The 14,616-nt window shown below is 41.4% G+C and overlaps 1 long non-coding RNA gene across 1 annotated transcript; it reads left to right on the top strand.

The window, feature by feature from the left end:
- The first annotated feature begins 4,593 nt into the window (after positions 1-4,593).
- LOC105372510 (uncharacterized) lies at positions 4,594-12,349 on the top strand. The gene is made up of 3 exons (XR_937214.3): positions 4,594-4,690; positions 5,878-5,985; positions 12,086-12,349. It is a non-coding gene; the product is annotated as an uncharacterized LOC105372510 (long non-coding RNA).
- Positions 12,350-14,616: the final 2,267 nt, after the last annotated feature.

Below are 14,616 nucleotides of genomic sequence, written 5' to 3'. Positions count from 1 at the left end.
AGGAGGAGCAAGTCATGTCTTACGTGGATGGCAGCAGGCAAAGAGAGAGATTGGGCAGGGAAACTCCCCCTTATAATACCATCGGGTCTCATGAGAATTATTCACTATCACAAGAACAGCATGGGAAAGACCTGCCCCCATGATTCAATTACCTCCCACCAGGTCCTTCCTACAACACATGGGAATTCAAGATGGAATTTGAGTGGGGACACAGCCAAACCCTATCAACACCCTTGTGTAGTCCCCTCTCGTGTTGTACCTGGGTTGGTGCATGTGGCCAATAGCATATGACAGAAGTCGTGGTATATCACTTCAAAAGTTAGGTTATAAAAGATGGCAGCTTCCATTTTAGATGCTCTTTTGCTTTTCTGCTCTCTTGGATCTTTCATTCTGTGAGAAAATATGTCATATTTTGAGTAGCCCTATGGGTAGGTCCACATGATGAGAAACTGAAGCCTCTAGCCAACAACCCATGAGGAGCCGAGGCCTGCCAGTAACCAGGTGAGGGAGCCTAGTGCAGATTCTCCAGCCCCAGCTGAGTCTTGAGATGACTACATGGAGGGCCCTGCATCAGAACCACCAGGATAAGCCACTCCCAGCATCCTGAGCTTTATAAATTCTGTGAGAGAATAAACATTTGCTGGTTTTAAGCTGCTACTTTGGGGGATAATTTGTTATGCAGCAATATAACTAATATTGATTTTTTTTGAGATGGGACAAAGAATAGTATATTTGTGGGTTGATGGGTAGAATTTAGTAATGAGGGAAAAGTTGATGTAGGAGAGAGAGAGGAGAATTTCCAGAGGGATGTTCTTCTGTAGGTAAGAGAAGATGCAACTTGATTTACCAGTGAAGAAGTTGACCTGATTTTAGGCAATTTTTCTATAGTAGCAGGTGGTAAGATGCAGGTAGATGGTTAGACGTGGTGGTGGGAGAAAAAAGTGGTTGAGAGGACTTACCTCTCAGTGTAGCATGTAATTAAGTGCCCACATTCTGTGGGGGAGACCTGAGTTCCAGTTCTGTCTCTGCTCTGTGCTACCTGTAAGATGCTGGGCAAATTATTAACCTCTTCAGGGCTTGATATGTAGGACATCTGCAAACATTTGTACTGTCAATCAATTCACAGGATTCAAGGGATGTTAGAGGACATCTAGTCCAAGATTTCTTTTTGTTTGTTTGTTTTGTTTTGAAACAGAGTCTTGCTCTGTTACCGAGGCTGGAGTGCAGTGGTGCAATCTTAGCTCACTGCAACCTCTGCCTCCCGGGTTCAAGCGATTCTCCTGCCCCAGCCTCCCAAGTAGCTGGGATTATAGGCATCCACCACTACGCCCGGCTCACTTTTGTATTTTTAGTAGAGACAGGCTTTCACCATGTTGGTCAGGCTGGTCTTGAACTCCTGACCTCAGGTGATCCGTCCGCCTCGACGTCCCAAAGTGCTGGGATTACAGGCATGAGCCACCATGCCCAGCCTAGTCCAATATTTATTTTGTTAACTCTGTGTTTGTGTATGTTTGTGCCAGAAAATTATCACTAAATAAACAGAATAAAATACATTGAATTGCAAAGAAAATTGACTAAACTCTATTTATTAAAATGTTAAGAGAAAATAAATTTGTAATATAGTCATATATGTGTTTCATGAATGCACATTAAAAATAAGATCTAGACACAGGTTTAAAAACTTCAGTTTTTGAAATTTTTGTATTTAAAAAAATTTTTTTTATAGAGACACGCTCTCCCTATGTTGCCTAGGCTGGTCTCGAACTCCTGGACTCAAACAGTCCTCCTGCCTTCCAAAGTGCTGGGATTACAGGCACGAGCCACTGTACCCAGCCAATCTTCAGTTTTTAAGTAGTAATGAGAATAAAAGATATTATAAAATATTTGCAGAATCCTTAATGTGACATAAAACGTCTGTGATTTCTATTGGCGACAGTCATGGATGGTATTAATACTAATTGCCTACATTCATCATTGAAGGACATGTTGAATTTCAGTTGGATGCTGACAAAAATAAAATTTTTTTCTATGCAAATTTTACCAATTCCCTCAATTCTGGGGCTGTAGATCACAAGTTGGGGACCCTGACCCGGGCCAATCCCTCTATCATATAAAGATGAGGAGACCGAGCCTTGGGATGCAAACTGTCAGGACTGCACACATACTCTATGGCTGACCTGGAGCAGGAACCCAATTCTTGTATCTCCCACTGCAGTGGCTTTTGATTACTCTCCTTAAAATGTTTCAAATGGAATGACTAAGTACTCCATGAACCGTAGCAGCTTTTACCTTCCTTTAAAATGATTCTCAGCATTTAAAGGGGCTTTACCAGAACCGATGACTGAGCAGATTAGGGGTTACTTATTTCTGTTTCCTGTGTTGATGAGGTTTTCCCTTCCCCTCCCCACCTCTCGAGGTCTCAGTGCCTCCCTGTCGTTTTCTTCCTCTGCTCCCTCTCTCCGTGGGTGTATTTCTGACTCTGCATCCTTTGCTTTGTGCTATCCTGGAGTTTCTCTCCATCTGTCACTTGGTTCTCCCCTCTTTCCCAGCAGATTTAGACGTCTAGGTGAAGGAGACTTGGAGAATTCTTGGACAAAGTCCCCTGAGGACATGGTAAGTAAGCTCACAGTGTGTGCGTCATCTGTTTGGCGCACTTGGAAACCCTGCATTAGCTCATTCACCACAAAGCAAATATATGCTAGCATCCCAGAAACTGGCCTAGAGCCTTTTTCACCCTCTGTTATAAATCCCCCTAGGTGGCATTGATAGATTTCAGGGGTTCCCACTGAGCCTTTTTCATTAAGATGTTATATTTTCCCCTTGGTCTCTGCCAAAATGTTTTGTAAGTACTTACAGGGGACAGCAAATAAAATGTTCATGTTTTTGTGTTCCTCCTTAGTGTAGTATCTTCTACCACAGATACCTTTTGGGCTATTGCTGGTACAGTTATCCAGGTAAAAGACAGAACCATGTCACGTGTTAAACAGTAGGATTTATCTCTTGTGTTAGGAATAGACCACTTAGATAAAACTCTCCCTTTTAAATGATATTAGAGCTTTCCTGTATACCAGGTTCATTTTTTTCCACATTGTTACTGAGTGGTTAGGTGGAGAGCACAGGAACATTTACACTCAGTCTCTAAACTCACAGTGCTCTCAAAAGACTCGGAGAGACACACTCGAAGCTGAATAATCATTTAATAGTTGCTTAATAAATTTGAAGTAAGTACAATAATGGCCCCCAAAGATGTGCACATCCTAATCCGTGAAAGCTGTGAAATGCTGGGTTACAAAACAAAAGGAATTAAGGCAAGAGACTCTGAAACAGGGAGATTATTTTCAATAACCGAGGTGAGCCTGATGTCATTATATGGGTTCTTAAAAGTGAAGAGGGGCCGGGCGAGGTGGCTATAATCCCAGCACTTTGGGAGGCTGAGGTGGGCAGATCACCTGAGGTCAGGAGTTCAAGACTGGCCTGGCCAACATGACAAAACCCCGTCTCTACTAAAAAAAAAAAAAAAAAAAAAAAAAAAAAAAAAAAAAAAAAAAAAAAAAAAAAAAAATTAGCCGGGTGTGGTGGCATGCGCCTGTAATCCCAGCTACTTGTACTTGGGAGGCTGAGGCAGGCAGAATTGCTTGAACCCGAGAGGCAGAGGTTGCGGTGAGCCAAGATTACGCCACTGCATCCAGCCTGGGCTACAGGCTCCGTCTCAAAACAAAACAAAACAAAAACAAAAACAAAAACAAAAAAAAAAAAAAAGAAGAGGAAGGCACACAAGATTGGAGAGATGTGAGAACCAGAAAAAAGGAAGGAAAAATACAAAATGTGAGAGGAGCTCAACCTGGCTTTGAACAATCAGAATAAGCAAGGAAATGGATTTTGCTCTAGAGGATCCAAAAAGGAACACAGTCCTGCTGGCGCGTTGATTTTACCTTAGTGAGACCCATGTCAGACTTCTGACATGCAGAATTGTTGGATAATAAATATATGTTTTTTAAGACGCTTGGTTTGTGATAACTTTTTATAGTAGCAGTAGAGACTAATGCAATAATAAAGACAAGGTGGTATGCAATCATGTTTCATGTGAGAAATATACACAATTTGCTATGTGTTCAATGCCACAGAATGGGATAATTTTGCCGTGTGTGTGGGGGTGTGTGTGTATGTGTGTCCAGTCGATGGGAATGTTTAGAAGTATGGTGGCATATTGAATTAATGGGTCCAAATGTTTACCCCTCCCTGTATTCACTCTTTGCTATGTAGCTCTGCATTCCTTCCCACTGAAGTTGGGGTGTATTTTTCTACCCTTAATTCTGGGCTTGGCCATGTGCCAAGTCCCTCTTTCCTAGTGGACATCACAGTTTTGCTGAAAGAAGCCGTTCCCCCTCACAGTTTTGTCTTTGTTACGTAACGACTCTAGCTGATAGGTCTTGATTGGTCCAAGTCAGTCATGGCAGTCTCATTCTTCTTACTTGGGATTGGTTCAAGGGTGGGCTTGTAACCTAGTTTTGACCAATGAGATGTCACTTCCCCTGGAGGTTTCTGGGAAAGTTTTTTGTTAATCCTGAAAAGGAGGGAGAAGAGGATCATTTCTTCACCTGGACACTGTCATTTCTGCATGTGACGTCTGGAACCTATGTATTCATCTTGGGACTTAAAAGAATTAAGGAGAGGACAGAGCTGATCTATTGTAAATGATGACATGCAACTGGGGAATGCTTTGTCCCTTGCGTTGTTTCAGAGTTACTGAATTACCGACTTGGAGGGGCTCCAATTTTGTGTTAGTCATGTAATACATTTTCTTATTGTCTAAGCCATTCTGAGTTGATGTTTCTGCTGTATAAAGCTGAAAATAGTTTTCAAATGCAAAATTTCACTTCTCTGGTTAAAACTTCTCAATGATTTCCCTATGCCCATAAAGGTCAAAAGCCACTGGCATGGCCTGTAAGGCCCCACCCCCTCGGGCTCCTGACTGCCTTCCTGCTTCCTCTCCTGTGCCTTGTTTCTCATCATCCTTGCCACCCTTTTTTAATGTGCCATGGTCCTCTTGCCTCAAGACTGTGGCAGATGCTATTCCCTATGGAAGAATGCTATTCCTTCTACTTTACATGGTAACCCTTGCTCCCTGCCCGCCTCCCACTTTTCAGCCAAAATTTCATTTCCTCAGGAAAGGCTTTCTTGCCACCCCAGAATAGATGAAGTTCCCTGGTCATAGGTGGCAGATGGAATTGTCCGTCTCAGCTCTTCACCCTTCCCTGTATCCTGACCCATTGCCATGTGACGTGGTTTGGATGTTCGTTCCCTCCACATCTTACACTGAAATGTCATTCCCAGTGTTGGAGGTGGGGCCTGGTGGGAGGTGTTTGGGTCATGGAGATGGATCCTTCATGAATGGCTTGATGCCTTCCTCATGTTAATGAGTGAGTTCTTGCTTGGTGAGTTCATGCAAGAGCTGCTTGTTTAAAGGAGACTGGCTTCTCCCCTCTCTCTTGCTCCCTCTGGCCATATGATACACAGGCTCTCCTTTTGCCTTCCACCATGATTGTAAACTTCCTGAGGCCCTCACCAGAAGCTGAGCAGATGCAGGTGGTACACTTTCTGTACAGCCTACAGAACTATGAGCCAAATAAACCATTTTCCATTATAAATTACCCAGTCTTAGGTATTACTTTATAGTAATCCAAATGGACTAACACACCATGTGACTTCACAACTCTTGCCTTTAAGGTGAAATGTGCATCCCAGCCCATTAGCTTTGGATTTGACTATGCGGCTTGCTTTTGGCCAGTGGAAGTGGCAGGATGCTGGTTCCCAAAAGGATTTAAGAAGCCTAATATGCCTCTTCTTGTTCCTTTTTGCTTCTGCCATTTTCATGAGAACATGCCATGGCTGGTCCACTGGTCCAAAGAGGATAAAATAGACATGGAGCAGAACTGGATCCAACCTGCTGCTTAGAGACACCCAATTGAGTCCAACCTAGATCAGGTAAAACCCAGCCAACCTGCAGATGTGTGAGCAAAATGACTGCTTATCATTATATACCACTGAAGTTGGGTGGCTGCTGCACAGTAAGAACACATCATAGCACATCCTGTACTTCCCTTTCTTGATATTATTAGAAAATGATCAATACAAAAGTTAGTCAGGTGTGGTAGTGTGTGGCTGTAATCCCAGCTACTCAGGGGGCTGAGGCAGGAGAATCACTTGAACCCGGGAGGCGGAGGTTGCAGTGAGCAGAGATTGCGCCATTGCACTCCAGCCTGGGTGACAGAGTGAGACTCCATCAAAAAAAGAGAAAATTATCAAACATAGAATGGAGGTAACTGCTAAAGATTTAACTATGATAATTTCTGTGATATATACGATTCTTTGGAAATGAAAAATTTGGAGGTTTTCATTTAGACAGTAGCTAAATATATTAATGCAAACATTTTATGGATTTTTAAGATAACTGAGTCCTGCCTTGTGATTTTTCAATGTCCTTATTCATTGTGTTTATGATCCTGCTGGTATCAGGCCAACTAAAGAATGAGGTGGATTTAATTTATAAGTGATCCTTCACAGCAGGGGTAAGCTGGTGAGTATTCTGGTGCACTGCGTGGTGGCAGTTTGCTCAACAATGGAGCAAAGTGGTAGAAGAATTTGATTGCAAAGCAAGGTTATGCTAAATTTAAAAAGATCTTGTGGCAGTCTTCATTACAATCGTAGTGGGAGCAATAATTTCATTTCAGCCGAATGGCTGACAGTTTATAGCATGTCTTTTGTGTAGATTCCATAATTGAATCCTGGAAGTCTGGGAAATTTTTTTTCTTTAAAAGGAGGTTCAAACATTTTTATTTTCAAGTTTAAGATCCCGTTCTTGGCTTATCAGGGCAATGAATCTTATTGAGTTGACTGAGAGGGGGAATTAACCTTTGAATTTGGAGAGTTAGAAAATAAAATAGCCCAACCTACAAGTGTATGTGCATGGGGCTGAAATCAAGACTTGGAAGTAGATTCTTTGAAAGGCAGATGCCTAATGCACTCTAGCATAGCCATCACCTCTGAGATGGCAAAGTTCTGGAGAATGCTCTGTGGGTGTCTGTGAGGGATGGAAAATGGTAGCAGTGGCCTGGAAGTCTCAGTAAAGTGCATCTGTTGCTGAGCTTACCACTGATGGCTGCAGTTGCTTCTATAGCTGAGCAGTGCACTGAATATGTGGTGGAGGACCAGCACGTGGCAGTGACATAGTTTGGATGTCCCACCTCCCAAATCCCATGTTGATGTAATCCCCATTGTTGAAGATGGGGCCTGGTAGTAAGTATATGGGTCATGGAAGCAGATCCCTTATGGCTTGGTGAGTGAGTGAGTGAGTTCTTGTGAGATCTGGTTGTGTAAAAATATATACCCTACCCCCTCCACTCTCTCTCTTGCTCCTCCTCTGGCCATGTGAGGTACTTCTCCGGCTCCACCTTCTGCCATAAGTAAAAGCTCACTGAGGCTTCCCTAGAAGCCAACCAGATGCTGGCACAATGCTTGTTCAGCCTGCAGAACTGTGAGCCAATTAAATCTCTTTTCTTTATAAATTACCCAGCCTCAGGTATTTCTTTATAGTAACGCAAGAGCAGCCTAATACAGGCAGCACAAACCAATGGCAGTAAAGATAACATCAGTTCAACAGACACCAGACAGAGCTCTTCCAGCCTGAAGTGGAATTCGATGGTTCTGCCATTTTGCACTGTGTAAGCTCAAGGGTTCTTTAATGAGTGATGTCAGTGAAGCCTCCAAAATGTGGTACTAGTCTCTCTACCAGTTTAGGGGAGCTGGTTCCAACCAGTTTAAGAAATAAAAAACTTCTACCTTGAGTGTGCAGAGGAGTTCATACCTATCAAACATGTAACTGTTGGGCTGAATAAGCATGATTTGTGACGTATTTTCAGGGAACAGCTCACCTTCTCTAGTAGGTAGAAGCTGTTTCTGATCCTTTGATGTTGTCCTACAGAGGAAGGTGATAAAGACTTGGCAAATACAGAGCTCTGACACACGAATATTATCGAAGTAACAGTTTTCTCTAGGCCTATGTTATCAACAGGAAACATTAGACTGAAGGATAGTCCCTGATGTGTTTATTTGGGCTTGTGAATTCTTGAGAAATGCACTTTGTTGGTACGGTGCTCTTCTCCTCCAGTTCAGAGTACTGCCAGACTGTGGGAGAAGCAGAAGTCAAGGGGGTGGGGTTTAGCAAGCCCCTCATGCTTCAATCATGCCACCCTCAAACTCCAGCAGAACTTCCACTTTATCTGATATGGTTGAAAAACTGCATCTAGCAACCTAAACCACCTAGCTGTAATTTCCAAGTTCTGGGCACAATGTTTTACTATGTCACTGGTGCCATCTGGGTTACACAATATTGGCAAAAATCAAACAAGCCCAGTTCAATTGCTCTTATATAAAAATGACCAATCCATAAACAAGCAAATGAATTAAAGACCTAGGAGAGCCTAAGCTCAGTGGGCCTGTCCAGGGATTAGCCCACCCTTTTGGATATGACCATGTAGCGGGGGAAGACCAAAAAGTTCTACTGGTACTGGCACTACTGTCAAATGGCTTTGGCCTCTCTGGGCCTGGTGGATATTTGCAGCAGGTGGACCCATCTCATGACCCTCCTTTAACTGTTTTCTCCCACCACTCCCTTGGCTTCTGGTTTCCCAGCTTTTCACCCCACTGGTAGGGTCTCCTTACTCTCTGGCAGAAACTCTCTTATTAAGCAGGTTTCCTTTCAAAATAACCCCAAGTCAACATTCCTATTTTGTGTGGCAGGCTGTCCCCAGCTGTTTTTACCTACATGAATCTAAGCCCTTTGCAATGTTCCTGGGGTGAGTTCTATCTTCCCACCTTTTGAATCTGGCCTGGCCTTCTGACTTGTTTGACCAGTAAAATACTCCAGAAATGACAGTGTGTCAGTTCTGAGCCTAGGCCTTCAGAGGCTGTCCTGGTTTCTTATTGCTGTGTAACAAATTGCCACACACATAGTGGCTTAAAACAGGAGCCATTTATTATCTCACACTTCTTTAGGTCAGAAGTGTGGGCTTGGCTTGTTCATCTGCTTTGGGACTCACAAAGCTAGAGTTAAGGTGTCAGCCAGGCTGGGCTGTTATCTGGGGAAGAAGCTTATTCCAAGCTTATTTGTTTTTTTAGACAAATTTAATTCCTTGCAGTTGTAGGACTGAGGTCCTTGTTTCCTTAATGGTTATCAGCCAGGAGCTGTTCTCTGCTTCCAGAGACCGCTGTATTCCTTGTCATGTGACCTCCATCTTCACATCAGCAGTTGTGTGTCAAGTTCTCATGCTTTGAAACTGACTTCCTCTTTTGCTACCAGCTGAAGAAAACTCTCTGCTTTTAGTGTTCATATGATTATATTAGGCTCACCCATATAATCTCTTTTGTTATTACTCAAAGTCAACTAATCAGTAACCGAATTACATCAAAAAATCCCTTTGGCTATGTATTATTACATAATTATGGGTATGCTATCTCATCATAGTCACAATACCAAGGATAATAGGATGAAATATCTTAGGGGGTTATTTCAGGATTCTATCTACCACAGTCCACCTCTGGTCCCCCAAATTCACATCTCTTCCATGTGCTAAATTCACTTACTCTTTCCCAAGGTCTTCAGGAGTCTCAATCCACTGCAGCATCAACTCAAATTAAAAATTACATCCAAATTAGCTCAGCAACTTTCTATATTCCTCTCCTCTCTGGCCCCAGATGACCACTATTCTACTCTCTTTCTGTGAGTTTGACTATTTCAGACACTTCATGTAAGTGGAATCATTCAGTATTTGTCCTATGGCTGGCTTATTTCACTTAGTGTAATGTCTTCCAGATTCACCCATGTTGTCGCAAATGGCTGAATTTTGTTATTTTTTAAAGGCTGAATAATATGCCATGTATATTTGTGTACTACATTTTCTTTATCCATTGATAGACACTTAGATTCTTTCCACATCTTGGCTACAATATTAATAATGCTGCAATAAACGTGTAAGTGTAGATATCTCTTGAAGAAGATATTGATATACATTATTTTGAATAAATACCCAGAAGGAGTGGGATTGCTAGATAACATAGTATTTATATTTTTAATTTTTTGAGGAACCTACCTATTGTTTTCCACAGTGGCTGCAGCTGCACCATTTTACATTCCCACCAACAGTGTATAATGGTTACAACTTCTCCACATTTTGTCGTTTTTTTTTCTCTCTCTATAAGGAGATGGAGACTCACTCTGTCACCCAGGCTGGAGTGCAGTGGCCCCATCTTGGCTCACTGTGACCTCCACCTCTCAGGTTCAAGTGATCCTCCTGTCTCAGCCTCCTGAGTAGCTGGGATTACAGGTGCATGCCACCGCACCTGGCTAATTTTTTTATTTTTAGTAGAGATGGGGTTTCACCATGTTGGCCAGGCTGGTCTTGAACTCCTGACCTCAGGTGATCCACCCACCTCAGCCTCCCAAAGTGCTGGGATTACAGGCATGAGCCACAGCGCCTGGTCTGTTGTTGTTTTTATAACAACCATCCCAACAAGTGAGAGATGATATCTCATTGTGGTTTTGATTTGCACATTTCTGATGATTAGTGATACTGAGCATTTTTTATATACCTCTTGGCCATTTGTATGTCTTCTTTGGATGAATACATTTTAGAAATCTGCTGTACAACATCATGTCTATCATTAGCAATATTGAGTTGTGTACTTAAACATTTAAGAGGGTGGATCTCATGTTAAGGATTCTTGCCACAATAAAAAAATAAATCTCATTTGGTCAAAGTCTAAATTCTCAAAATTTAAATCAAATGATGATGATTTATGAAATTTCATGGAGTATGCAAATTCATGGGTTACAATTCTCCTCCATCTGTGGACCTGTGAAACTAAAGGGACAAGTCATCTGCTCCCAACTGTCTCAACATATGATGGCAAGACCATGCGTAGATTAATAGTTATGGACATTCTGGTTCAAAAGGGTTGGTAGATGGGGAATGGAAGGCAAAAATGAAGTCACTGGTACAAAGCAGCTTTGAAATTTAGCCAGGAAAACCTTAGCCAAAATTCCTTGTTTAGGTTTCAAGCCCTGGGAATAATCCTCCATGGCTCTTGGCTTTGCTCTGTGGGCCCTTGGCTCTGCATTCTGGTTCTTGGTTCTGCCCTATAAGTGATTCATTTTTCATAAAAGATAGCAAGTGGTTGAAGCATAGTAGTTTTATCAGCCTGCTTTGAACCAGTGGAAATTTGGAGGTTTGAAAGCCTTCCTTTGTGTTGCATTGTCTCTGTCCACTTCAATCAAGTTGGTAGTGTTTCTGCTGATATAATGTTCTCAAGAACTTTGTGAATCTCTTGTGGATGTCTTAAGGGTTTATTCCATTATGCTTGAGCCACATCACAAATATTTTCAAGATAATGTAATTTTGGCTTCTGCTGAGATGGATGAAGGACAATGATTTTAAACTTCTTGAGGCCCTTTGGTTTGATTGAGAATATCTGTGAAGAACACTCTTTATCGCTTGGAAAGTTACTGTGTAGTCGAGTACTTTGACCTTTTGATATTGTCCTTCTCAACTAGAAATATTTAGATGAGATCTGAGGTTTCAGCAAAGGGTCATACAGTCACAAACTCAGACTTTTCTCTACTTCACACTTTCAGCAACCATTTTGGACTTTTAGCATCTTTTGACATCTGGAGAGGCTGAGAATTTCCAAAGTCTTTCCAATTCCTTTTTGTTTAATAGTTCTTCCCTCAATTTATCTATCTGATCTTGTATTTTGCTATAAGGAATACAAAGAAGCCAGGTAACACCTTCAACACTTTGCTTGGGAATTTCCTTAGCTACACGTCCAAATTTATCACTTACATGTTATGTTTTCTACATGACTACAGAATACAATTTTGATAAGCATTTGCCAGTACATAACAGGGATCTCCCTTTCTCCCATTTTCAGTAACATGTTTCTCACTTTCTATTCAGCACTCACCATCAACATTCTTAAAGTCAAGATTTCCACCAATAGTCTGTTCATGGTGCTTGCAATTTCTTCACAGTTTCTCTTGGAAACTGGATCTGACTCCCATAAAGAAGCCCATGCTAACCTGCTAAAGAATAAGACCATACGGAAGAAAGATGAGTTGTTTAACTGGGGCCATTCTGGACTATCCAGCCTACAGCAAACCCGCCAGCTGACTGTAGATGCGGGAGCAAACCCAGCCAAGATCAGCCAAGATCAGCCAATCCCAGCAAAGACAAGAAGAACATCCTAGGTGGCCAATAAACTTTTGATCAAAATAAATCCTTTATGTTCTACACCACAGAAGTTTTGTGGCTGTTTTTTATGCAGCATTTTTGTGCAATAGATAATTGATACACATGAAATTTGTATGCCTTGAATTCTTGTACATTTGACATATTTTTGAAAGGGAGAGCAATTAGTTTCAAAAATAGCACAATTCTCTCTTTTCCCTCCCTCTTCTAGCTTAGGCTACCTTTAGAGTCCTCAGACCTGTGAAATACATTACTGTTCCCTATAATTGCAGGAATACACATCAGATCTCCAAGTGGTCACATTAAAGGTCTCATTTTTGGGGCTTGGATGAAGAGAAAAGCACCTTCATCCTTCCTTATTGTGGGGAAGCTTATGACAATGCTCGCTTGTAAGAAATCCTCCTTTCAAATCCTCTCCTTTTCTCCAACTATTCAATGCCCATTTTTTGGTCTCCTTTAGGGAAGGGGCTTGTCAGAAACTTTTAAAACTCAAATGTTGATCTGACAACTCATTTTGGAATGTATTATGATACCTTATTTGAAACTTCAATTTTAATATCCAGTTACACTTGAGTAATGTCTGTCTCCTCCACTAGGCTGTAGTTCCGTGAGACACAAACTCTTCTTGCTCGTGTCGCTGGCATCAGCACCAAGGACAGTACCAGACACATGCCTCACTCCACACTTACTTAATGAATCAATGTGAATAAACCTGTTATACATTATGTCATGAATATAAAATTCATAAATTGCCTATATTTCTTTTTCACAGAGCATGGATGTGGTCATTTTTCAACAAATCTTTTAACTCTTTTACGGAGTGCCACATTAAAGATCCCTTTTCAGAAATGCTTAGCAATGTGGGATCCCAGCTGATTTTCACACTCAAGTTATTGTTGCCTAGGAGAGGACACAATGAGGTAACTTTCATATAAAAGAGAAGTCTTCCCTAATAAGGCTTCTCTGAAAATTCTTCAACCTTAAAATCAAAGAACAAAACCAGAATGTAGTGTCTTACAAACATTAACAACATTTGTACTTTATTCTACCCACTTGTGTATGTAAGTGTCAACTCTGGCTCCTCTCTGGCTGGAACACCCTTCATGAGACTACCCAGTGGAGTAGGAATCAAGCTCCTTTGGTTCTAAATTTAAGGCAGCCCAATTAAAACATCTGACTCATCCAGGCTGTTCATGGGGAGCATTCTCACATTCATAAATTATGGAATGGGCTGTAGAGTCTCTGAACACTCCCTGGCAGCTGTTTTGGTATCTTTCTAGATAAGAAACAAATGCAGATTTTTCATCTTTTCAATTATTACCATCACTCATTATCATTCATATTACATAGCATGATTCATGTCTGGAGATCAAGAGAGCAGAAGGATTTTAAGGGCAAACTGTGAAAAGGAGAGTGAAAAAAGGAAGGGAGAAAGTCAAAGAGAGACCACAAGTTGAAGATCAGTGGGCTCTTTTTTCCAATGATGGCTGTTTTTTATTTGCTGATAAGCTGAGAGTTTAATTACTTTGGTAAACATTTATTTGTGAAGACTTGGTAACAGACTAATATATGACCCATTTTGGTTTCATCAAAGCCTCAAGCCCAAGGGATACTAGTCTATGGAGGACACTTAAGATATAAACAGCCAGTGGTTAGGGGCATAGTATGGTGGTCCTGGATATTTAGAAATCATCTTTAGCACACAGCTTCTGCCACAAAGGGGCTAAAAGAGTACATAATATTTCTCTTATATGATAGTTCAGATTATTTTTCAGGAAATATTTGCCCCTTTGCACCTCCAATTATAAGTGGAACATACTTCCCCACCTCCTTTGATGTTGAGTTAAGCTAGATAACTTTATGGGCCAGTGGGATGTTAGTGAACATGATGCAAGCAGAGGCTTGTACTGTGCTTGAAGCTTTGGGCTTGTCCTCTTTTGATTCTTCTATGAATAGGTCCTATCTCATCTCCTGGTTCAAAGGTAAGAGACATATAGAGTTGACCTGGACCCTACCATAGCTTGAAGCTGGGCCCAGTCATGCTTATCCTAGATCAGCTAAGCTATAGGTGTGTGAGAATAAATAACTCCTGTTTTAAACTACTGAGTATTGAAGTGACGTTTTATAACTGAAAATTTAGCTAGTTTATTTCCCATTTCTGGGAGAGAATCTCTAAATTTTTGGAATTTCCTGAGTGATAGGAGTGTCTTTGTTATTCATGGTGGGTCCCTTGGATCCCAGGTAAATTTATGCTAATGAGATGACTCAGGATGGGGTCTGGTCATACCAGAAAGACCAAGCATGTAATCAAAGG

The sequence above is a fragment of the Homo sapiens genome, chromosome 20, assembly GCF_000001405.40.
Source record: "Homo sapiens chromosome 20, GRCh38.p14 Primary Assembly".
Classification (NCBI taxonomy): Eukaryota; Metazoa; Chordata; class Mammalia; order Primates; family Hominidae; genus Homo; species Homo sapiens.
The sequence above is the reverse complement of the archived record's forward strand: the minus strand, read 5'-3'. Positions and strand labels throughout refer to the sequence as shown.